Genomic DNA, 24,320 nt, shown 5'->3' with positions numbered 1-24,320 from the left:
TGAAAAGACACAATCTATGAGAAACTCTAATATTAACACGTTAGAATATGCATATTAATGCTTACAGTAGCAGTTTGTAATGGAAAAAAATTTAAAATATTTGACAAATCAATCTCGTCAAATATTAACTCATTTGTCAAGATGATATATTCATATATCATATACTATATGGCAATGAAAATATATATATATATAAACTTAACAAAAATAACACTGAACAAGAAAAGCAAATTACAGAATACATACAGCATGATAGTACATCTATAGTTTAAACATGCAAAACAAAACCATATATTGCTTAAGATAAAAATACATAAACATGTAGTAAATGAGAAATTTATGGGAATGGTAAACATCAAATTTAGTATAGTAATTACCTGGAGTGGAGAAGTATGGGTCAACTATATGCAGGGTATTATCAACTCAATGCTTATGTTTCCCCAAAAATCACATGCTGAAGTCCTAACCCCAAATGTGATGCAATTTTGAAACAGGGCCTTTAGGAGTTAACTGGAGGATTTCATGAGATCATGAGAGTAAGGCCTTCATGATGGGATTAATGCCTTTATGAGAAGAAATACCAGAGAGCTTCTGCCACCCACTCCCCCAAAGTGTGCTCACAAAGAAAAGGTCATGTGAGGCACACAAAGTAAAATGGTGGCCTCACTTCAAGAGAAGTGGCCTCAGAAGGAAAGTTGCCTTGCTGGTACCTTGATCTTGGACTTCCCAGTTTCCAGAACTGTGAGAAAACGAATCTCTGTTTTTTAAGTCACTCAGTCTATGGTATTTTGTTATGGAAGTCTGAGTTATGACACAGGGGGCTTCAAATGAACTTTTGTGTACCACAATGGAATGCTATGTAGCCTTAAAAAGGGAGGAAATCTTGTCACATGCTACAAAATGGATGGACCCTGAGGACATTATATTAAGTGAATATAAGCCAGTCACAAAAGGACAAACACAACCTGAGCATTCCTAATCTGAAAATCTAAAATCCAAAATGCTCCACTAAGCACTTCCTTTGAGCATCAAGTAAGTGCTCAAAAAGTTTCAGATTGGCCAGGCGCGGTGGCTCAGGCCTGTAATCCCAGCACTTTGGGAGGCCGAGGCAGGCGGATCACGAGGTCGGGAGATAAGAGTCCATCCTGGCTACAGTGAAACCCCGTCTCTACTAAAAAATATATATATATATACAAAAAATTAGCCGGGCGTGGTGGCGGGCGCCTGTAGTCCCAGCTACTCAGGAAGATGGCGTGAACCCGGGTGGTGGAGCTTGCAGTGAGCAGAGATCGCGCCACTGCACTCCAGCCTGGGCGACAGAGTAAGACTCCGTCTCAAAAAAAAAAAAAAAAAAAAAAAAAACACACACCAGTTTCAGATTTTGTAGCATTCAGACTTTGGATTTTCAGATTAGGGATGCTTAACCTATACTGTATAATTCCACTTATGTGAGGTATTTAAAGTAGTCAAATTCATAGACACAGAAAATAGAATGCTGGTTACCAGCAGAAGGACAAAAGAGGGAGTTTTAAAATCAGTATAGAGTTTCAGTTCTCCAAAAAGTTCTGGAGATGGGTTTTGCAATGTAATATTATTAAGTACGTATAAGAATAATTAAACAATTTAAGTGTACACTTAAAAATGGTTAAGATAGTAAATTTTATGTGTTTTTTTGTACAATTAAAAAGATTTATATCAAGTTATGCAACGTTTTTTAAAGAAACAAGAAAATATCAGGGTTTAATCAATTAAGCAACATTAATAACTTTATCAATATTAATAACTTTATCATAAAATACTTAAAATGTGGAATATAGAGAAAATATATAAAGAATTACAAAAAACTAATCCCATCAACCTGGAGAAAACTACTCTATTTTGGTACACTGCCCTCCAGCTTTTGGGGACACATATAAATTGTATGCATTTGTCAAAGTTATTTTTAATCCTACTTTTCACACATATGAAAAATATTTAAAAAACATTTGTAATGTTTATGAACAGAATTTATTCATTGTCTTATCACTGAACAGTTGTTATTTCTACTATTTAAATAATGCTGTAATCAGCATCTAAAAAATATACTTATCTGATCATTTTTTCCTTATGAGTTACTAGACATAAAATACTAGGAAAAGAATACGAAACAAAGCATTATTTTCTAAAGCACTACTCCTACATTAGAAGTGTCCATTTCAGCCCAGATTTTTTAAAGTGGTATTTTGGTATTTAAACCGACATATATTTGAATTGTACATAAGAGAGAAAGATTATAAAGAGCTCCTACCAATATCATTGTCTTATTTAATCTTCACAACAATCATGCAAGTTAGAAATTATTATCCTCAATATTACAAACTAGGAAAGGGAAATTCAGATTATAAAAGACTTGTTCATAATCACTTAAGTACAACAGGGGCTCAAACCCAATCAATCCAACAATGCAAAGTATTTCCGAGGCGGGCGGATCACAAGGTCAGGAGATCTAGACCATCCTGGCTAACACGGTGAAACCCCATCTCTACTAAAAATACAAAAAATTAGCCAGGTGTGGTGGCAGGCACCTGCAGTCCCAGCTACTCGGGAGGCTGAGGCAGGAGAATGGCCTGCAGTGAGCCGAGATCCCACCACTGCACTCCAGCCTGGGCAACAGAGCGAGACTCCATCTCAAAACAAACAAACAAAAAAAACTCACCTTATTAATTCAATCAAACCAAAGCCAAGCAAGAGTTTATATATATATATACCACTCCTTTTTATAATAGTTGAACTATTAAGACAAAGAACTGGAAATGGGTGTAGTAGATGTTTGCTACAATTTGAATAAATGAGGGAAGAGTGCTTAAAACAAATAGCAAACACATATGTCTTACCTGAAACCCTGCTAATAGCTTGCCTAGACAACTATCTGTATCAAATAGCAAAGTATCTTTCTGAGAAGTTAAGGAAAGTGGAACTGTGTTTATTGGAGTTCAACACTTACAAAACCTAACTCTTCCTCAAAAGTTCATCACAAATGAAGATTAGAAGCCTTAAAATGGCCCATAAATATTTAATCAACAGCGTGGCATGAAAGCAAGCTAGTAAAAAAAAAGAAACGTTACTACAACAGTAGTTATGAAAACATATATAACAATACTCACAAAGAATCAAGTTTATTTAAACATAAATACTGATAGGAGAAAGCAGGTTCAATTTTCAAAGGTCCTCACTGCAAATCCTTTGCACTCAAAGCTCTCCATATTACTGTCAAAAACTACTTTTTAAATTTTGTCTTCTACTACTCTAACTCAACCTACATTCCAAAAAATTACTTACTTCCTCAACATGTCCCAATTTTCCTCATCATTACTTGTTTTTGTAGCTTTAAAAGTGAACAAAAACAATGCCACTCTTTCCTGCAACCAGACAAGAAAATTTTGCCCTTAAAGGCTCTAAACAACCCTTCATAGAACCTTTCCACGCTATTAACATATAAGCTCACTTTGTGTCTTTCCTTTTTTTTTGCCTTCTTTTGGATTATACATCTTTAATTTCAGTCAACCCCCCTCCCCAATTATTTGCGTTCTATCTCTATTGCATTTACCCTTAGGATTTTAAAATGCAAGCTTATCTGATTCACTCTGGCACTGTCCAAAAGAAACGTAGTATGAACCATAAATATAATCTCATAAATTTCTATTAGCCACATTTTTAAAAGTAAAAAGAAAAAGTGGGCCGGTCGCAGTGGCTCACGCCTGTAATCCCAGCACTTTGGGAGGCCAGGGTGGGCAGATCAGGAGGTCAGGAGATCGAGACCATGGTAAAACCCATCTCTACTAAAAATACAAAAAATTAGCCGGGTGTGGTGGCAGGCGCCTGTAGTCCCAGCTACTCGGGAGGCTGAGGCAGGAGAATGGCGTGAACCCAGGAGGCAGAGCTTGCAGGAAGCAGAGATAGAGCCACTGTACTCCAGCCTGGGCAACAAAGGGAGACTCCGTCTAAAAAAAAAAGAAAGAAAGAAAAAGGTGGCCAGACTCAGTCCTGTAATCCCAGCACTTTGCAAGGCTAAAGCAGGAGGATCACTTGAGCCCAGGAGTTTGAGACCAGCCTAAGCGATACAGCGAGACGCTGTCTCTACAAAAAAAAACTCAAAAATTAGCCAGGTGTGGTGGCACACAACTGTAGTCCCAGCTACTTGGGAGGCTGAGGTGGGAGGGTCACTGGAGCCCAGGAGGTTGAGGCTGCCATGATCATGCCACGGCACTCCAGCCTGGTGGACAGAGCAAGACCCTATCTTAAAAAAAGGAAAGGAAAAAAGAGGAAAAGGCAACACACATAATGTATTTCATTTAACCCAAAATACCAAAATATTATCCGCTGTACATGTAACCAATATGAAAACTTGGGATATTTTACATTCTTCTTTCAGACTAAGGCTCAGAAATGTGTATTTTTCAATTAAGTAGAAGATCAACTTAAACTACATACATGTCAAGTGCTCAGTAACAAATGACTAGTAGCTACTGTAACTGACAACACAGCTCCAATCAATACTAGATCATCAGAACTCAAACTCCAGTGTCTCTACCACTCTCTCACATATTGTTATGATTTAATATTTTTAATTCTATTTTTAAACCCCTTATCAATCACTGCTATTACATTCTTATATGGTCAGTAATTAGATTTACTCACAGACCTACCAATTTCTTGATTAGCCTCACTTCTATATCAGACTTCCTTTCTGGTGTCATTGGCTTTCTTCCTGAAGTACAAACTCCAGAAATTCCTTCAGTGGGTCTGTTGATACATTTCCTAAATTGCTTTTTTGGAGGCAGAATGACGTGTTTCAAAAAGTGTCTTTATTTTGTTCTTCTCCTTATATGATAATTTGGCTGGCTATAAAATAACAGGTGGGCAGCTATTTTCACTCAACACATTGAAAATATTATTCCACTATCTTCTGGATGCCCATGCTGATGAAGCATATTAGGACTTTCTAGTTCTTATTCTTTAGGGAATCTGATTTTCTCTGGCTGCTTTAAAGATCTCTATGTCTTTGGTGCTCTGCTCTTTTACTGTTATGTGTCCAGGTTTTCTTGTGCCTCCTAAATCTAAGAACTCATATAGCTCACCAATTCTGAAAAATTATCAGCCTTTAGCATTTCAAATTTTGCCTTTCTGCAATCTTTAATTTCTGGAACGCTAATTAGATGTTTGTTAGAACTTCTCTTCCTTTCCAACACATTTTTAACGCTTCTCCTATTTTCATCTCTTTGCTTCTCTGTGCTAAATTCTAAGTTATTTTTATTTTTTTGTTCACTAATAAAGATATTTAGTGCTGTCTGAGGCTATTTTTAACCTGAACTCCAGGACCTCTTAGAAATTAATTTACTGTATTTGATTTCCATAAAAGTGTTCCTTCCAAATGTAGATTTACAGATTAAAGAACTACAACAACAACCATTCTCATCCTTTCAGCATAAGTCTTTTCCTCATCTCATCTAACATTCAAAATAATTTTGGAAGTAGGTACAACTGAAACCATTTAAAAATGTATAAAACTGAAGCTCAGAGGTTAACCTGTTCAATGCTATAAAAGTCAAACCCTCATCTTTTCATTCTAAATCGTATGTTCTTGACAAGAAAACATTCTTGTCCACCATCAATAGTTCCAACTTACATTAAATGTTAATACTGTATAGTATTACTATTATGTGAATTTTAAGTTACATTTCTTTTTAGATATCCTTTAAGAATACTCATTAAGAGACACTTATTGGCCAGGCACAGTGGCTCATGCCTATAATCCCAGCACTTTGGGAAGCCAAGGTGGGCAGATCACTTGAGGTCAGGAGTTCCAAGTCAGCCTGGCCAACGTGGTGAAACCCCATCCCTACTAAAAACACAAAAATTAGCCAGGTGTAGTGGCAGGCGCCTGTAGTTCCAGCTACTTGGGAAGCTGAGGCAGGAGAATCGCTTGAATCCGGGAGGCAGAGGTTGCACTGAGCTGAGATTGGGCCACTGCACTCCAGCCTGGGCAACAGGGCAAGACTCTTGTCTCTCAAAAAGCAGGAAAAAAAAAAAAAAAAAAAGAAAAAAAAAGGAGACAATTATTGAGCACAGACTATGCCTAGCACAAACAAGGTAAAGTATAAGAAATGTTCCTGGGAAAAACATGACATACACGAAAAGTCAGAAACCATGTCTAACAGAAATAAAAACCCACCACTTAAAAATATTACCAAAAAAATAGAGACCCTGAGCAAGTCTCTAGATCTAACTACCAATTTACTGGAAATATGGAAAACATACTAAATTACAAAATCATAACGCAATCAGTAAATGTAGTCTATAGGCAACTGTGTAAGACCAATAACCAGTTTTCTTCAACAAATGAAATGCAACTTAAAAAAAAAACAAAAAACAGGAACGGAGAGCTTGTACATTAAAAGATATTTAAGAGGTAATAACGACCTGTTAAATTTGCTGATCTTATTTTATCGTGACTCCTTCCCCCACTAAAAAAAAAAACCCTATAAAAATACTATGACTTTTATGAGACAATTAGAAATTTTAATACAAATTTGACATTTTATAATATGAGGTAACTTTGTGTGTGTGTCCTAACAGTCTTTTGATTATATTTTAAAAAGGAGAGGAGAGTCCCTATTCTTTAAAGATATACACTGAAGCCTTTACAGATAAAACAATATGAATATCTGAAATTTATCTCAAAATAACAGAAGTGGAAAAGCAGAGTGTGGATATCATCATTTTAGCTATGGGTTACTAATGGTTTTGGGGACTGAATGATAGATACACAATGGTTCATGATACTATTGTGTCTAAAATTCATTATAATAGTTTTAAAAAAGAAGTACTGCTCAAAAAAATCTCGTGATAACTTTCTGTGACACCTTATTACTTTTAAAGTGAAAATATCACTTAACCACCTTATCCCCTAATGTAGTATGCCTAGAACTAAATTAAGAAAGCTACTACAGTTTAGGAACACACGTAGACCAAGAGACTAAAATAATTAACAATATAGAGACTCAGGATTCTAATTCATAGCACTCCATGAAATACTGAAGCCAATCTTTTTGGAGATCAGTCATAATAAAGGTCTTCATCCTGACTGTCTTCACGCTGAGTAGGCTAAGGAGGAAGAGGACGAGTTGGTCTTTCTGTCTTGGGTGGAAGAGGGAGAAGAAAATTCTGTATAAGTGGATCTATGCATAAGTGGACCTGTGTAATTCAAAATCATGTTGTTCAAGGGTCAACTGTACTTCATTTGACCCTCAGGAAAGCCCTTTTCCTTTTTTTTTGAGACTGGATCTCCTCTCGCCCAGGCTGGAGTGTAGTGATACAATCATAGCTCACTGCCGCCTGGGCTCAGGTGATCCTCTTGTCTCAGCCTCCCAAGTAGCTGGGACTACAGGCCCATGCCACCAGATCTATCTAATTTTTAAAAGTTTTTGTAGAGATGGGGTCTTGCTATGAGGACCAGGCTGGTCTCAAACTCCTGGGCTCAAGTGATCTGCCTGCCTCAGCCTCCCTAAGTTCTGGGATTACAGGTGTGAGCCACCATTCCAGCAAAGCCCTTTCTTGAGAATAGGTTAAAACTTGTTTCAGTTGCCACTTCATTAATTTGTAATTTAAACATTTATCCTCTATTATGTAGTTGGGCCCATTGTAATCACAAGGTCCCTGTAAGTGGGAAACGGAGGCACAAGAATGTGTCGGAGTGATGTGATGTGAGACAGAGTCTTCTTTGCCATTCCTTCTTTGAAGATGAAGCTAACAGCCGAGTTATGTCAAGGAAACAAATTCCCCCCAGATCCTGCAAAAAGGAACACAGCCCTGCTAACACCTTGATTTTAGCCCACCTGTGTCAGATTTCTCACCTACAAAACTATAAGATAATACTTTGTGTTGTTACAATAAATTTGCTATAGCAAAAAAAAAAAAAAAGAAAGAAAGAAAGCAGAGTAATGAGCTACTTTTATGTGGAAAATTACAGGTATATAGAATAATGCCTACCAGATGAAGTACAAATTTCACTACCTGTAATTGAGGTCTTCTATATAACCTATCTGCCATTCTATCTTTTCTCTCATATCCATATACAAGCTGTTAGCCATAAAGGCCAAACTATTCAACTCACTGATCAATGGCTGTAAATTTATGCCAACCTATAGACACAACTTTGGTTACGTCCTTCTCTCAACGCCTGTTGCTCTCCACTCTTTCTCCTATCTCCCAATCTAGCTAGGTCACAGACCACTATTCTGAGCCTACCAACCCAAACCAATCTTTCCTACTGTAGCCATATAGCACTTAATTAAAACCTTGAGTCCTTATTTCTCTAACTAAAGTCCTAAAAGACATAGTCTTGTTATTTATCTTTTTATTGATAAATGGCTCATTAGAGTATGAGCATATTAAAGCCTATGACACTTCTAAGAGTTATTAAATATTAAGTGTATATGTACTATTTAATATGTGTACTATTAATGATTGAGGAACAAACATAACAAATAGGGTCACTGCCCTCAAGGAGCCAATACATCAATTTCTAACATAGTACTGTCATTTCGCAGACATCAAAATATCTGTTAATTGAAATTCTAATAAAAATACCCTAGAGAAAGCATTAAGTAGCATTTAAGAAAAGTATTTTAAGAAAAGTCAAAACCTAAAAACCCAAAGTTTTGAATAACACATCTATAATGAACAACCAGTTACACACAACTATTACCAAAAAAGTTACATTTAGCATTATTTGATTGTAATTTTCTATGCAAGCCAATGAGGATGAATTCAATAGTCATATCATAATTTAAATTGTGAGTTCAGCAATTTACAACCAGTACTTTCAGAATATTTAGAAAAAGCTAACATTTTAAGAAACAGGTTATTTATTAGTTGTCCAGTTATAGGTCTTGATATATTAATAGTTAACTTACTAAAGAACACTGCTACAAATTTCACCATACTTAAAATCTACATCTAAAAAGTTAACATTTTACCGTATTGGGGACCATCCTGAATTATTCTACAGTCATTTCATACAATTCTGTCTTCCCAAGTAATAGGCCGATTACTTTGCAAGGATTTCACATTGGCAAAATGGTTAAGAGTACAGAAATGACACCCCTGATATTACAAATTACGAAGAATATAAAAAGCCATTTTAAAGAAATGCAACAAATCTCCTATTACAAACTCACAAATATTCTTTCTTAATAGTCTCACTGAGCTAACAAAAAAAAGTCTAAAATCAAGAAAAGCTGAATACAGCAAATTTATAAAATAATGGAAAATGAGATTTCATTTGTATCCTAAAGCCATAAAAACTTGGATATTCTAAATGTAAATACATTAACATTAGACCTAGTTTGTGGAACTATTAAAATCCTAATTTAAAAGGTGAAGAAGCTGAGGCTAAAAATGTTTACACATCAAATGGACTTTAAACAATAAAATCACTTAATTCAAATATATATATTTGAATTAACTAGGTCCAGTACACAAACAGGCAGTTCACAGAAAATGAAATATAAATAACCAAATCTGAAAAACCTCACCCATTTCAAAATATAAATTACAAAATAATTTTTAGTGTAAAATAAGCTAGTATTCTTAAATTTTGATAAAACCTAGAATTGCCAAGGGTATGGAAAAATAGGCACTCCCATACACACTTGTGAAAAACAAATGAGTGTTCTGGCATTGTGGTTTTCAGTAACTCTTTAAGTATAAATTTCATTTGACACAGCATTTTTACTTCTATTCTAAATATGTCCACATGTTATAACAACAAACTGGAATCAAACCTAAATGTCCATCGATGTAGGAAACTAAATTGTGGTATGTCCAGTAACTACACTGTGGTGCAGCCACACGAGTATCCTCCATTGTCATTAACAAAGAATGAGGTAGATCTACAACTGCTGAGACCATATTATGTAATTAAAAAAAAACAGTGGACTTCTACTTCCAGTCAAGACAGAATAACATGACCCAGATTTGCCTCGCCGAAACAACACCAAACAATCAAGCAACTATACAGAATAATTGCTTTTCAAGACACTGGACATCAGGCAATGATGGACAATAATCCCTGAAAGTTAGAAAACAAATGAGTCCATGTTTGCCTCAGCTTATACTCCCTTGAGTGTCCAGGCCATAGCATAGCTATGAGGAAAGCAGGCTGAGCCTCAAAGACTACTTTAATTGTGAAAGAGCCAAGAGCCTGAGAAGACCAAAGTAACTAGAGTTTACATACAGGTCAAAGTACCAGAGAAAAGAACTGCACAGAGATTTCTCCAAATCTGCAGAGAATCATCAGAGTATTCAGTGAATACTTAACAACATATATATTTGGACCACAAAACAAGTCTCCATGTTTACAAAGATCCAAGTCTTAGAAAATATGTTCTCTGGCCAGAATAAAACTAAAATTATGAATACATAACAGAAAGATATATGGAAAACTCCAAATATTTGGAAATTAAATAACATAAATAACATACTTTCCAATAACCCATGGGTCAAAGAAATATTTAAAAAAGTATTTTGAAGTGAATAAAAATATACGTGTCAAAATTTGAGGAATGCCGTGAAAGCGGTACTTAAAAGGGAAACATACAGCAATAAATCCCTATATAAGTAAAAGTACTAAGTTAATGACATTAACTTCAATGTTAACTAAGTAGAAAATGAAGATCAAACTAACCACAAAGCAAAACAAAATAAAAATAGCAGAAATCAATAAAATAGAAAACAGAAAAACAGCAGAGAAAACTCAAACCAAAAGCTGGTATTTTGGAGATTAATAAAATCAATAAACTTCAATCCAGACAGACAAGGAAAAAAGATGACACAAATTATCCCTACTGGGAATGAGAAAGCTGACATCACTAAGGATTCAACAGATACCAAAAGTGTAAAAATGTAGTATCATGGCTGGGCGCAGTGGCTCACGCCTGTAATCCCAGCACTTTGTGAGGCAGGGCGGGCAGATCACAAGTTCGAGACCAACCTGGCCAACATAGTGAAACCCCGTCTCTACTAAAAATACAAAAAATTAGCCAGGTGTGGTGGTGTGTGCCTGTGATCCCAGCTACTTGGGATGCTGAGGCAGGAGAACCGCGTGAACCCGGGACGTGGAGGTTGCATTGAGCCGAGATGGTGCCACTGCACTCCAGCCCGGGCGACAGAGCAAGGCTCCGTCTCAAAAAAAAAAAAAAAAAAAAAATAGTAGTATCATGAACAACTCTACACAAATACATTCAGCAACTTAAAGGAAATGGACTAGTTCTACAGAAGATACAAATTACCAAAGTTCACTCAAGAAGAACTAAACAAACTGAATAGCCCTATATCTATTAAATAAGTTGAATATGTAGTTTAAAACCTCCCGACAAAACAAACATCTGGCCCCACATGGCTTCACTAGTGAACTGTGTCAGTTAAGGAAGAAATTTTAGAGTTCTCACCCTAATATCAGGAGCAAGGAAAAGATATTCTCTCAACACTTCTATTAAACATTGTACTGGATACCACAGACAAAAAAAGGAGACAAAAAATGGCATCCAGATAGAAAAGAAAGAAAACTATTTAAAAACAATTGGGTATAAATTATCTATGTAGAAAATTTAATGGCATAGGCTGGGGGTGGTGGCTCACGCCTGTAATCTTAACACTTTGGGAGGCCTAGGTAAGTGTATCACTTGAGGTCAGGAGTTCCAGACCAGCCTGGCCAACATGGTGAAACCCTGCCTCAACTGAAAATGCAAAAATTAGCTGGGCGTGGTGGTGTGCACCTGCAGTCCCAGCTACTTATGAGGCTGAGGCAGGAGAATTGCTTGACCCAGGAGGTGCAGGTTGCAGTGAGCCAAGATCACGTCACTGCACTCCAGCCTGGGTGACTGAGACTCCCTCTCAAGCAAATCTGATGAAATATATAAAAAAAACTATTAGATCTACTAAATGAGTTTAGCAAAGGTTCAGAACATATGAGCAATATGCCATAATCATTTCTATACACTAGCAAACAATTGGAAATTAAGTTTTTAAAATATCATTTACAGTACTTCAAAATACATAAAATACTTATGGGTAAATCTAATCAAACAATGCACAAAACGTGTGCACTGAAAAAAAAAAAAAAAATGCTTAAAGAAATTAAAGACCTAATAGAGACATCAATTGTAGTCATGATGCCAATTTTCCCCAAATTTGCTCTACAGATTCAAGTCAAATCCAGTAAAATCCAAGCAGTTTTTCTAAGAACTGACTCATATGAAAATACAAAGGACTCAGAAGAGTTAAAAACAACTTTGAAAAAGAACAGAGTTGGAGGGCCAAGACTAAGTAAGTGGTTTCAAGACTCAATATAAAGCTACAATGATTAAGACAGTATGTTTCCAGCATCTAGATAAAGGAAAATGGGTCAATACAAAAAAGAGTACAGACATAAAATCACACATACAGACATAAGTGATTTTTCATGAAGCTGCAAAGCCAAGTGAATGGAGAAAGGATAGTCTTTTCAACAAATGATGCTGTAAACACTGGATATCCCCATGCAAAACCAAATACTTCTGACCCACACTTTGTACCATATTCAAAATATTAAGTCAAAATGAAAGAGACCCAAATGTTAAACCAAAGTATAAAACTTCTATTAGAAAACAAAGGTGGCCAAGTGTAGTGGCTCATGCCTTTAATCCCAACACTTTGGAAGGCTGAGGCAGAAAGATCGCTTGAGGCCAGGAGTTCAACACCAGCCTGGGCAAAACAGAGAGACCCCGGGTCTATAAAAAATTTAAAAGTTAGCTGGGCATGGTGCTGTGTGCCTATAGTCCTAGCTACTTGGGAGGCTGAAGCAGGAGCCCTTGTGTCCAGGAGTTCAAGGTTATCATGAGCTACGATTGCACCACTGCACTCCAGCTGGGGTGACAGAGTCAGGTCCTGTCTCTAAAAAAAAATTATTATTATTATTAACAAACAAAAGGAAAAAAATCTTCATGGCTTACAGTCAGGCAAAAATGGCTCAGACAAGACCCCAAAACTACAATCCATAAAAGAAAAAATTGGTAAACTGGAGTCCATCAGATTTAATAACTGTTGCTCTTCAAAAGACAATGCGAGAATAAGAAGATGAGTGGCAGAAAATATTTGCAGGCCTTATGGCTGATAAAGGACTTGTAACCACAATGAAGACCTCTCAAAACTCAATTTAAAATAAATAACCAAATAAAAAATTGGGCTAAAGATATAAACAGACACTTCACCAAAGATAACAGCTGACAAAAAGCACACGAAAAGATGTCCAACATCATAGATATTAGAGGAATGCAAATTAAATCCACAGTGAAATATCACTTCATATACACTACAATATCTATAATCAAAAACAGAAGATAACAGGCATTAAAGAGGATGTGGAAGGACTGGAAATTTCATACCATGCTGATGGCAATGTAAGATGGTACAACTACTTTTAAAAAGTTTGCAGTTCCTTAAAAAGTTAAACATATGCCTATCACATGATCCAGACTTTCCAATCATAGCCTGCCCCACCAAGAGAAATGAAAGCATATGTCCATACAAAGACTTGTACAGTAATGTTCACAACTATATTTTTATTAGCTCAAAACGGAAAACAATACAAATGTCCCTCAAGACTTGAATGGATTAACAAATTGCTGTATAGCCATAAAGTGTACTATTACTAAGCAATAAAACAGAATGGACTATTGAAAGACAACATGGGTGAATTTCAAAATAATTATTCTGAGTGGACTAACCCAGACCAAAAATGTACATACCATATGATTACATTTATCTAAAATTCTAAAAAGTGTGAACTAATCTATAGTGACAGAAAGCAGATCAGTGGTTCCTTGGGGAAAGAAAAGCAGAAAGGAGGGACTATAAAGGCGCAAGATGATACTGTAGGGAGTGATAGATGTTCATTATCTTGATTGCAGTGGTTTCACAAGGGTATATATGAGATAAAACATTGTATATTTAATATGGGTAGTTTATTTTATGTCAAATTATATCTCAATAAAGCTATTTTTTTTAAAGGCAAGATATGGGCCGGACGCGGTGGCTCAAGCCTGTAATCCCAACACTTTGGGAAGTCAAGGCGGGCGGATGATGGAGTCAAGAGATCAAGACCATCCTGGCCAAAATGGTGAAACCCTGTCTCTACTAAAAATACAAAAATTAGTCTGGCATTTTGGCTAGGCGCGGTGGCTCACGCTTGTAATCCCAGCACTTTGGGAGGCCGAGGCAGGCAGATCACGAGGTCAGGAGATAGAGACTATCCTGGCTAACATGGTGAAACTCTGTCTCTACTGAATATACAAAAAAGAAGCCAGGCGTGGTGGCAGGCGCCTGTAGTCCCAGCTACTTGGGAGGCTGAGACAGGAGAATGGCGTGAACCCAGGAGGCAGAGGTTGCAGTGAGCAGAGATCGCGACACTGCACTCCAGCCTGGGAGACCGGGCGAGACTCCGTCTCGAAAAAAAAAAAAAAATTAGTCTGGCATGGCGGCGTGTGCCTGTAGTCCCAGCTACTAGGGAGGCTGAGGCAGGAGAATTGCCTGAACCCAGGAGGCAGAGGTTGCAGTAAGCCGAGATCATGCCACTGCACTCCAGCCTGATGACAGAGGGAGACTCCGACTCAAAAAAAAAAAAAAAAGGCAAGATGTGGGCCAAAACAATAGTTTGAATTCAATCACGTAAATAAAGATGTTTATATGTGTGCTAATATATAAATTAATAATTTCAAGAAAAAAGGCACAAAATTTTAACACAATTACCTACACCTAAGAAATAGCAAAAAAAGCTGTGAAGCAGTTTGAATTTTTTTTTTTTTTTTTTTTTTTTTTTTTTTTTTTTTGAGATAGAGTCTGTCTCTGTCGCCCAGGCTGGAGTGCAGTGGTGCAATCTCCGCTTACTGCAACCTCTGCCTCGCAGGTTCATGCCATTCTCCTGCCTCAGCCTCCCGAGTAGCTGGGACTACAGGCACCCGTCACCACACCCGGCTAATTTTTTGTATTTTTAGTAAAGACAGGGTTTCACCGTGTTAGCCAGGATGGTCTCTCCTGAACTCGTGATCCGCCCGCCTCGGCCTCCCAAAGTGCTGGGATTACAGGTGTGACCCACCGCGCCCGGCCTGAATTTTTTTAAATATGCACATGCATCAGTGTCTTTAAAGCAAATTCACAAATGTTTTAAGTTTTAAAGAACACTTAATTACTTGTACACAGGCCTGACACCAAAGCAAAAATTCTTAACCATTATTCCAGAAAATTAAATTAACTTTAATTATTCAGACTTTTATATTAAACAATGGATTTTTAAAAACGATTTGCAATTTTTTTTTATCATCTTCTAAAGTGTTCTCCTCAAACAACTAACAAAAAACTGGTGTAACCACAAGGTCAGGAGATCAAGACCATCCTGGCTAACACGGTGAAACCCCGTCTCTACTAAAAATACAAAAAATTAGCCGGGCGTGGTGGTGGGCGCCTGTAGTCCCAGCTACTCGGGAGGCTGAGGCAGAAGAATGGAGTGAACCCGGAAGGCGGAGCTTGTAGTGAGCCAGGATCGTGCCACTGCACTCCACCTGGGCGAAGAGTGAGACTCTGTCTCAAAAAAAAAAAAAAAAAACTGGTGTAACCAATACATTACACCTGGACATCCTATTCCAAGTCTCCTCAGTTTTTTCCTGTCTACTCATTCTGAGCCTTGTCTACAAACTCCTCTCCTTTTCCACTAACAGTCGACAACTCACACTTGTATCATTTATTCTTTTACAAAATTTACAGAAATCTGTTTGGATGGAACCTACAACATCTACCATTTTGCAATCTTTAGCTATTCCTGATTTTAAATCCCATGACTAACTCAACTTGGAAAATACTATCACCAAAAAGAGCGTATTATTCCTCCTTTAGTCTGTACAAAATGAACTCAAGAAACAAGCCTAAAGAATGGGCAAATATCTATTTCACTATAGGAAAGAGGACAGAAAATAAGCAAGAAAACACAGTACCATCCCCAAAAGTATTTGAAAGAACACCACATCATTATGGATACAATTATTATTATCATTATTATACTTTAAGTTTTAGGGTACATGAGTACAACGTGCAGGTTTGTTACATATGTATACATGTGCCATGTTGGTGTGCTGCACCCATTAACTTGTCATTTAGCATTAGGTATATCTCCTAAAGCTATCCCTCCCCCCTCCCCCCTATATCTCCCAATGCTATCCCTTCCCCCTCCCCCCATTATGGATACAATTTTAAGAATTCGAAAAAATGTTTGAACAGTCAGCATCACTGGACTAAGCAGAAAGCCTCTCAGGACAGAGAGGCTTGCAAATGAAAAATGACAATACAGGCCGGGCACGGTGGCTCACACTTGTAATCCCAGCACTTTGGGAGGTCAAGGCAGGCAGATCATAAGAGGCAGGCAGATCATGAGGTCAGGAGTTTGAGACCAGCCTGACCAACAGGGTGAAATGCCATTTCTACTAAAAATACAAATTAGCTGGGCGTGGTGGTGCGCACCTGTAATCCCAGCTACTCAGGAGGCTGAGGCAGGAGAACTGCTTGAACCCAGGAGGCAGAGGTTGCAGTGGGCCAAGATCGTGCCACTGCATCCAGCCTGGGCAACAGAGTGAGGCTCCGTCTCAAAAAAACAAAAAACAAAAAAAAATTACAATACATCATGACATTAAAAGTTGCAAGTACTCAAGAAAATGTTAAGCATTAGAACTAAAGTTTAAACGATGAGTAGTTTTCTTAGCCAAAAAGGAAGGATTCCAAAGGATCTCTACCATAAAGACTTTCTTTAATAGACAAACCAGCTCTTAACTTCTAATTCAAATTTGAAGCTAACTGCCTCAACAACTTCCTTTTTAAGGATCAGTGTAATTCATTTCTAATGTGCTTTATTATTAACCAAAATATATTCATTTTCATGACAAAAAGTAATAAAAAACAAAAAACTTAGATTAACAAAATTATAAGATATAGGTCAAACCACTTACCATCCATTTAAAATCATTATTTCCCCTCAGAAAATTGGGGTATCGTTTTATATTACAAGAAGCCATGTGTGAAAGCATTTTCAATTTCTTGATCATTCATACTTACTTTAAAAGGTTATTCTTACAGACTGACAGTTCTAGAAAAACTTATGGTGATTACAAACTGTTTATATGGTCCAACTTTACAAATGAAAGGAAACATTTTACACTTGGGTTTTGTTAGCTACGTTATAGTTTTCAAAAGCAAAAGCTAAAATTTTCCAGTAATTATGATAATAGATCCAACAATCCCAGTTTCAAACATAGTATTTTCCTACCTTCACGCCAACTGCAACCTCAGTGACGATTCTGCAAAGAAAAAATAAGTAGTTTCAACCTCCTGTTATTCTTCTAATCACTCACTCTTTGGCTCTAAAACTTTTTAGGATAGTCCATCATTCATAAATCTTCCAGCCACTCACACACAGATGGGGATAAAAAATACCACAGATGATCCGTGACTTACCTGTACTGTTACCAACCTGGTTTTCTAAAAGTAACTTTCAAATGTGAGACAACTTGTGGTATTTTTTAACAACACATTCAATAGCCAAAAAGAACAAAACCCAAAACACTATGCCATTTCTACAATGCCAGTATACTGAGATTAATAATTTAACGCTTAAACTCTTTAGTAGTCTCCACAGGAACCAGGAATCAGGAAACATGAATTCTAGTGCAAGTTTTGACATCAATTTCCGTGTTGATCTGGGGGGAATACTGAACTTCTCTGGATTTGTTTCATCTGGAAAATAATCTTTAGGTAACATCTAGGATGATTTGAATTCTGTGAGACTGTGTTAACTTTTATAAAATCTTGTTTTTAGTACCTTTTAAAACACACCAAACTCTAGGCGCTTAACCAAATTGTTGATTCTTCAAATACTCACTGATTTTAATAAATGTACTTGTTAAATGATACTATGTTTACACTCCCAAAAGAGCTGCATACTGCTGTATTTTTGACCTTAAGCGTGCCCCCTTTCTAACATTGAGTTAAATTACTGAGTCTTTTCAGGTGTGAAGCATATGAGCGAGACATCGGTCCCTACCATTTCACAGTCTTGCCTCTCACCTCACTCAGCATTCCGTCTTGACTCAGGTTCGCAAAGATGCAGCATGGTTCTGGGTTTTTATAGTCGTTTTTCCAGAAACTGACCAAAGTAGCTAAAGAGATAGCCCTTTGTTGACTATCTGCTCTTGTTTCTGCCATTGCTGTTGGCCTTTGCCCATGTGACTGATGTCGGCTTCAAACACTTCGTTTTTTAGATGATTTAATTTCTGGGCCCTTTTGCCAAGCCTTGAATGTTTTCAGTCCCCACAAAAAGGCATTTTTTCCTCCCTCCCGCCCCCACTACCAGACTCAAATGAAAACAAAGGAGTATGACATCTGCCCTCCCCCTTCCTCCCGCCGCCGCACGCCCTCCCCCCTTCCCCAGCGGCTCCCACTAGGCTTTCCCCGGAGCTCCCGCCACCGGCATCTCTCCCGACCACGGAGGGCCGGGCGAGGCCGGAGAGGTTGCTCATGGCTGGGGTCCACATGGGGTGCCTCTCTCCTCTTCCCCTAGAGGCTCCCCCAATCCAAAGGCCTGTCTCTGCCCATCCCACTCGCTCTCACAGGCACCGCTAACCCAAGGGTCGGGTCCCAAGGTACGGATCGAAATGGCTCCTAGAGGGGGCAGGGACAGACCGGGGAGACGTTATGGGGTTCCCACCCCATCCCCCGCCGCCAAGCCGGTGCCCGCTCCCACTCCGGGATCCTCACCCCCGCCATCGCCCCTATGCCTCCCCAGCCTCCAAGCCCGCTTTCTTCTCATTTTCTCGACCAAAGCCCGCCGGGGGAAGCAAAGGGAGGGGTGTGTGCGATGGGGCGGGGGTTGGGTAACGGCAGCCCAGCCCTGGGAGGGGCCGCGGGAGGGTTTCTCCCCGGCCCGGGACCGGGCCGAAGGACGGTCCAACTCCTCTCTCACACACACCTTCTCGCCGGCCCGATTACATACCCGTCCATTGCCGAACCGGACAAAGCTTCGCTCACAAGAACCGAGCCACGCAGCCAGCGAGCCACACAAGCGGCGAGAAAATGGCGGCTGGGGCCCGACGGAAATTGCCGAAGGTGCCGAGGCGCACGGGCCACCGCGCGGCAGCGGCGGCGGCGGAAAGAGCCGAGCGCGCCGGCGCCCGGCAGCGGGAGGCGAGCGGCAGGGCGCTGGGACTAGGGGGAGTGGGCGCCGCAGCCGACGCCTCCTCCGCGCCTTCGCGCGCCTTTCTCCCTCCGCCCTCCGCCTGCCGTCCTCTGGAACCTGGCGTTCTGCTGCAGACCGCGGCGACCTGGTTTCCCCTCCTTGTGGGGGCGTGGGTGGGACACCTCCCAACAGCTCTCCACACTCTCTCTGCCCTGACTGCAGGACGCCCCCAGGCAGCCTCCACTTTTCACTCCAAGCCAAGTACCAGCTTGGCTACCGTCAACCTATGCGGGCCAAGGAAAAAACATTGGATAGCTTTTCTCCTAAGCCATCTTTTATTTGCAGACCGGCTCCAGCCTCTAAAACAAAAATCTTTACCCCACTGAACGAGACCACTTGGTAACAACAGTACTTTCTCAAGCAAGTAGAACTCCTCAGACTGAAATACAGGCTTTTGCTTCAAGACCTGTAGTACCAAGCCAAGTGGAGGAAAATGTGATTCTCACTTCAGTTGGTGATTAGTGTGCGCCTGTAGAAAATATTCACAATACGCTAGGTGGAAATAGACACAAATGGAGCCATGTGTTAAAATGCTACAATAGTTGGAGTTTAACATTTGGAGGCATGAAAGGGAAAGTGGAGATGGGAGTGGGAACAACTGAGTCTTCAGATTGGTTAGAGAAAGTAGAAGCATTAAAATGGGCTATGCAAATTGACTCCCTTTGCTATATCTTACGGTCTCAATTTTTACTTGATACTATAGTGGACATTTTACTTCAACGTGTTTTTATCAGAGGCTCAACAAAATTGGGAAAGGCACCCGCTTGAAAATTTGCTCAGTGAGTAGCGACTTTGCCAGTACCCATCCTTCTCCTGCACCCTTCACCTCCACCCCCAACACACACAAGGACAAATGCACTTCTAATTCTGAAAAATGACAAATACTCCCTGTGTCCCTCCAGTTACTCTCAATACTCACTCTGGGTTTTTCTGTGTCTCCTTCAGGCAAAGCTCTTATCCTTTGCTAATTGGAATTTCATATACTAAATGATATTGTGTATAATTTTTAGAATTTTTTTTTTTGAGACCCAGTCTCGCTCTTGTTGCCCAGGCTGAAGTGCAATGGCGCAATCTCGGCTCACTGCAACCTCGGCCTCCCTGGTTCAAGCGATTCTCCTGCCTCAGCCTCCCGAGTAGCTGGGATTACAGGCACGCGCCACCACGCCCAGCTAACTTTGTATTTTTAGTAGAGACAGGGTTTCTCCATGTTGGTCAGGTTGGTCTCGAACTCCTGACCTCAGGTGATCTGCCCTCCTCAGCCTCCCAAAGTGTTGGGATTACAGGCGTGAGCCACCGTGCCCGGCCATAAATAATATTACTTTTAAATTGGATAGACCCTTAAAGAGCATCTTGTCCAAACACTTTGCTATAGAACTCTTCAAAGCACCCAAATTTTTACAAATTCTTGATTTGCCTATGGGATTGTCAATCGTTAAAAAAAAAAAAAAAAAAGGCCGGGCACGGTGGCTCACGCCTGTAATCCCAGCATTTTGGGAGGCCGAGGCAAGCAGATCACCTGAGGTCGGGAGTTCAAGACCAGCCTGACCAACATGGAGAAACCCCGTCTCTTCTAAAAATACAAAATTAGCCGGGGTGGTGGTGCATGTCTGTAATCCCAGCTACTCGGGAGGCTGAGGCAGGAGAATCGCTTAAACCTGGGAGGCCGAGGTTGCGGTGAGTCAAGATCGCGCCATTGCACTCCAGCCTGGGCAACAAGAGCGAAACTCTGTCTCAAAAAAAAAAAAAAAAAAAAAAACCACATATCAAATTTCCTACAATAACCACTTCACCTTAAACCTTAAAATAAAGGATCTGTTATTAGTGCCACTAATAATCACTTTTCACATATTTGTGGTTTCATACATGTGTTTTCACTCAACAATTGAATGTGCAAGCTACCAAAGGGCGGGAACTATGGTATTAATTCTTGGTATTCCCCACATTCGCTCGATCGATATTGATTGATTGGTTCTCACTTTATCTTGGCAAAGACAAACCATTCTATGAGGAGGGAAGCTTGTCCTTAGGCAGCAGAAGAAATTACAGTGTTCACAAAAACACATTTTTCTTTATTTTTTTTTCGAATACGGTACAAGACCACAAACATACAATAGTTAATCTGCTTGCTTATTTAAGCTAACAGTTTCTTGGAAAAATGCAAGGTAATTTACAAGTCAAGGCACATAAAGTACTAGATTAAGACATGAAGTGAAATAAGAATAAAACAAGAGGACAAAGCATAGCATGAGTCAGGAATGAGGCTAATGCAACAGTGTACACAAAAGCATATTGATTAAAGCCTGGATTCAGATTTGAGCTCTTTCGTTTAATACCTGTGTGACATTAGGCATGTTCATTAACCTCTCCAGGAAACTTTCCTTTGCTGAATATAGGATTAAAAATAGGGCCTTTGGACCTGGCACGGTGACTTAGGTCTGTAATCCCAGCGCTTTGGGAGACCGAGGCGGGCAGATCACGAGGTCAGGAGATTGAGACCATCCTGGCCAACATGTTGAAACCCCACCTCTACTGAATATACAAAAATTAGCCGGGCGTGGTGAAACGTGCCTATAGTCCCAGCTACTCAGGAGGCTGAGGCAGGAGAATCGCTTGAACCAGGGAGTCGGAGGTTGCAGTTAGCCAAGATCGCGCCACTGCACTCCAGCCTGGCGACAGAGAGAGGCTCCATCTCATAAGAAAAGAAAAAAAGAAAAAAATAGGGCCTTCATCCTAGATGACTGTGAATTAAATACCTTAACGTATCTAAGGCACCTCCCTAGCTCAGTAACTACTTACTTACAGTAAATACTTAGCAAAGAGTGTTATCATCATGCTTATTATTTTTGTTATTACTATTATTCGTTTGAGAAGGAACAGGCCACAAATTTGTAGCTTAGATTTTAACAGCCAACAATATTCATAAAAATAAATCTATATAGAGATTTTTCACAAAGGTTAAACGTGTCACTAAAGTAATTAGATTGGCTGGTATCTACAGGAATAAATCTGGGAAAATGTCATAGATAAATTTCTAAACCTCTATCCAAATCTAAATTTGTATGATTTTATGAGTTAACCATGGGATAGATTATTAATCTCAACATTAGCAGATGGCCAACCTTTGTAATATATGACAAGATTCTATTAGTGTTTATGGATTCCTAACAAAATAAGGCAATAAAAAGTGAAGTGCCTGTACAGTATTATTTTCATACCCATATCTTTTTGCAGTATAATGATTTGTTCTTTCCCATCTGAATGGTAAATGTTTTGACCTTTTACAGAGATTTACACTTATGTGAACAATGATTAAATTTCAGTGTATGCTAAGCTAAAATGAGGCCTAATATTTATGCAATAAAAATAGGAAGTAGGATTTGGTTCATAATGTTCTGATTTTATTCTTAGCCCCACCTCTTGACTGCTTATACTACCAAAGACATCATTTACATTTTTCAGCCTGTAGTTTCTTCATTTGAGAAGAAGGAATCATAATAAGATCAATTAGATAGTATTTTACTTTTGAATAAGTGATCAAAACACAAAATAGAGGAGAACAAATTCAAAAGACATGAAATCACATACAACATTTCCAGAAAAAACAAATATGTAGAGATAGAAAGTAAAGTGGTCACCTAGAGCTGGGAGTGGGAATGGGGAATAACTGTAAATGGGCACAAATTTCGCTTCAGGATGATGGAAATGTTTTAAAATTAGATTGTGGTGATGATGGTACAACTCTGTAAATATATTAAAATTCATTGAATTAAACACTTAATACTGATAAATTTCAGAGGATGTAAATTATATATCAATAAAGCTGCTGTATAGCTATTGGCTTGGGGCTTCTTTCACCAATATGTAATTCTCTCCTATATTGGATCTCTGGTTTCCTAGATCCCATATCTTCTTTCCTGATATATTCCCTCATCAGGAAATACACCTTCCAGAAGGTTCCAGAGAAAAAAATCCATAGGAAACACTTTTTTTTAATATATTGTGTATTCAGAGATATGTTTATTCTATTTTCACATGTTATTGATAGTTTGGAAAGCAATGCTTTTTCTCAGTACTGTACTTGTAAACTTTATACTATGTCTACTTGGAGGGGGTGTCATAAAGATAAAAAGCATATACTTTTTACTCCTGCTCTCCAGCTACTGAGTTCCATGTTCCAGAGGCAAACCATCTTACCAGTTAATTACATATTTTTTCAGAGATGTTCAAAGACATATATTGATTATATATATATAGTTTTTCTTTTGATTCAAAAGTGGTAACTATTATGCACACTATTCTGAAACATTTTTTCGACTTTAAAAATTTACATCTTAGAGATCTTTCCTTATCAGTATGTTTAGAGCTGCCTCATTCTTTATATACACCTGCATAATATTCCACTGAATAAGTAAATCATGATTTATTTATCTAGATCATATTGAGGAACATTTAGATTGCCTCCATTCTTGCTATTTACACACAATTCTGCAATGAATATCCTTGTTTCTGAGATGTTCCCTGCAAGTGTGAATATGTCTTCTGGATAAATACTATAAATAAAAATTACTAGATAGAGTAGAGTATATTTTTTATTTTAAAAGAGACTGTCAAGTTGCCTACATGAGCGTGAGCCTTGGTGTAAAATATTAGCAATTCCTACCATTTAAAAAGGGAAGCGTACTGATTTCTTTAATACATAAGGAGTTCCTACAAATACAAAATCAAAAGCCAACAGTCAAATAGAAAAATTGGTAAAGCATATGAATAGATTATGACATATTACAGGAAAGTAAAAACAAATATGCTCAGCCTCATTTTAAAGCAATTCAAGGTGAAACTGTACTAAGATACTTTTTTCACTTGTCAACACCCCTTGTAGGCAGACTAGCACAAAGCTTCTGAGTGCAGTACTGAGAAAAAGTATTCCTTTCCAAACTATCAGTAACATATGAAAATGGAATAAACATAA

General features: G+C 38.5%; 1 protein-coding gene across 15 annotated transcripts in view, besides 2 other annotated features; it reads right to left on the bottom strand.

The window, feature by feature from the left end:
- The window catches only part of PTBP2 (polypyrimidine tract binding protein 2), a 101,956-nt gene extending 82,759 nt beyond the window's left edge, over positions 1-19,197 (bottom strand). For 7 of the 15 annotated variants that reach the window (NR_125357.2, NM_001300987.2, NM_001300985.2 and 4 more), the window contains exons 1-2: positions 19,109-19,197; positions 17,387-17,417 (exon numbers count right to left, since the gene is read on the bottom strand). Coding sequence is in view for 10 of the 15 variants with exons in the window: in NM_001300985.2 (NP_001287914.1) it covers positions 17,387-17,417; positions 19,109-19,116 (39 nt within the window). In the remaining 5 variants the exon portion in view is untranslated. Of the gene's footprint in view, positions 1-17,386; positions 17,418-18,183; positions 18,344-19,084 lie in introns of those variants that run through there. The other 8 variants (XM_011541876.3, NM_001300986.2, XM_011541874.3 and 5 more) reach the window with 2 other exon arrangements.
- Positions 18,722-19,001: a silencer, noted in NCBI's record as "silent region_1108". NCBI's record gives its function as "represses an Ori minimal core promoter by ATAC-STARR-seq in GM12878 lymphoblastoid cells {active_cell/tissue: GM12878}" and the evidence as "EXISTENCE:reporter gene assay evidence [ECO:0000049][PMID:35858748]".
- Positions 19,232-19,431: a silencer, noted in NCBI's record as "silent region_1107". NCBI's record gives its function as "represses an Ori minimal core promoter by ATAC-STARR-seq in GM12878 lymphoblastoid cells {active_cell/tissue: GM12878}" and the evidence as "EXISTENCE:reporter gene assay evidence [ECO:0000049][PMID:35858748]".

Source organism: Homo sapiens, chromosome 1 (genome assembly GCF_000001405.40).
Source record: "Homo sapiens chromosome 1, GRCh38.p14 Primary Assembly".
NCBI classification, from domain to species: Eukaryota; Metazoa; Chordata; class Mammalia; order Primates; family Hominidae; genus Homo; species Homo sapiens.
This window is presented reverse-complemented; position numbering and strand designations above follow the sequence as displayed.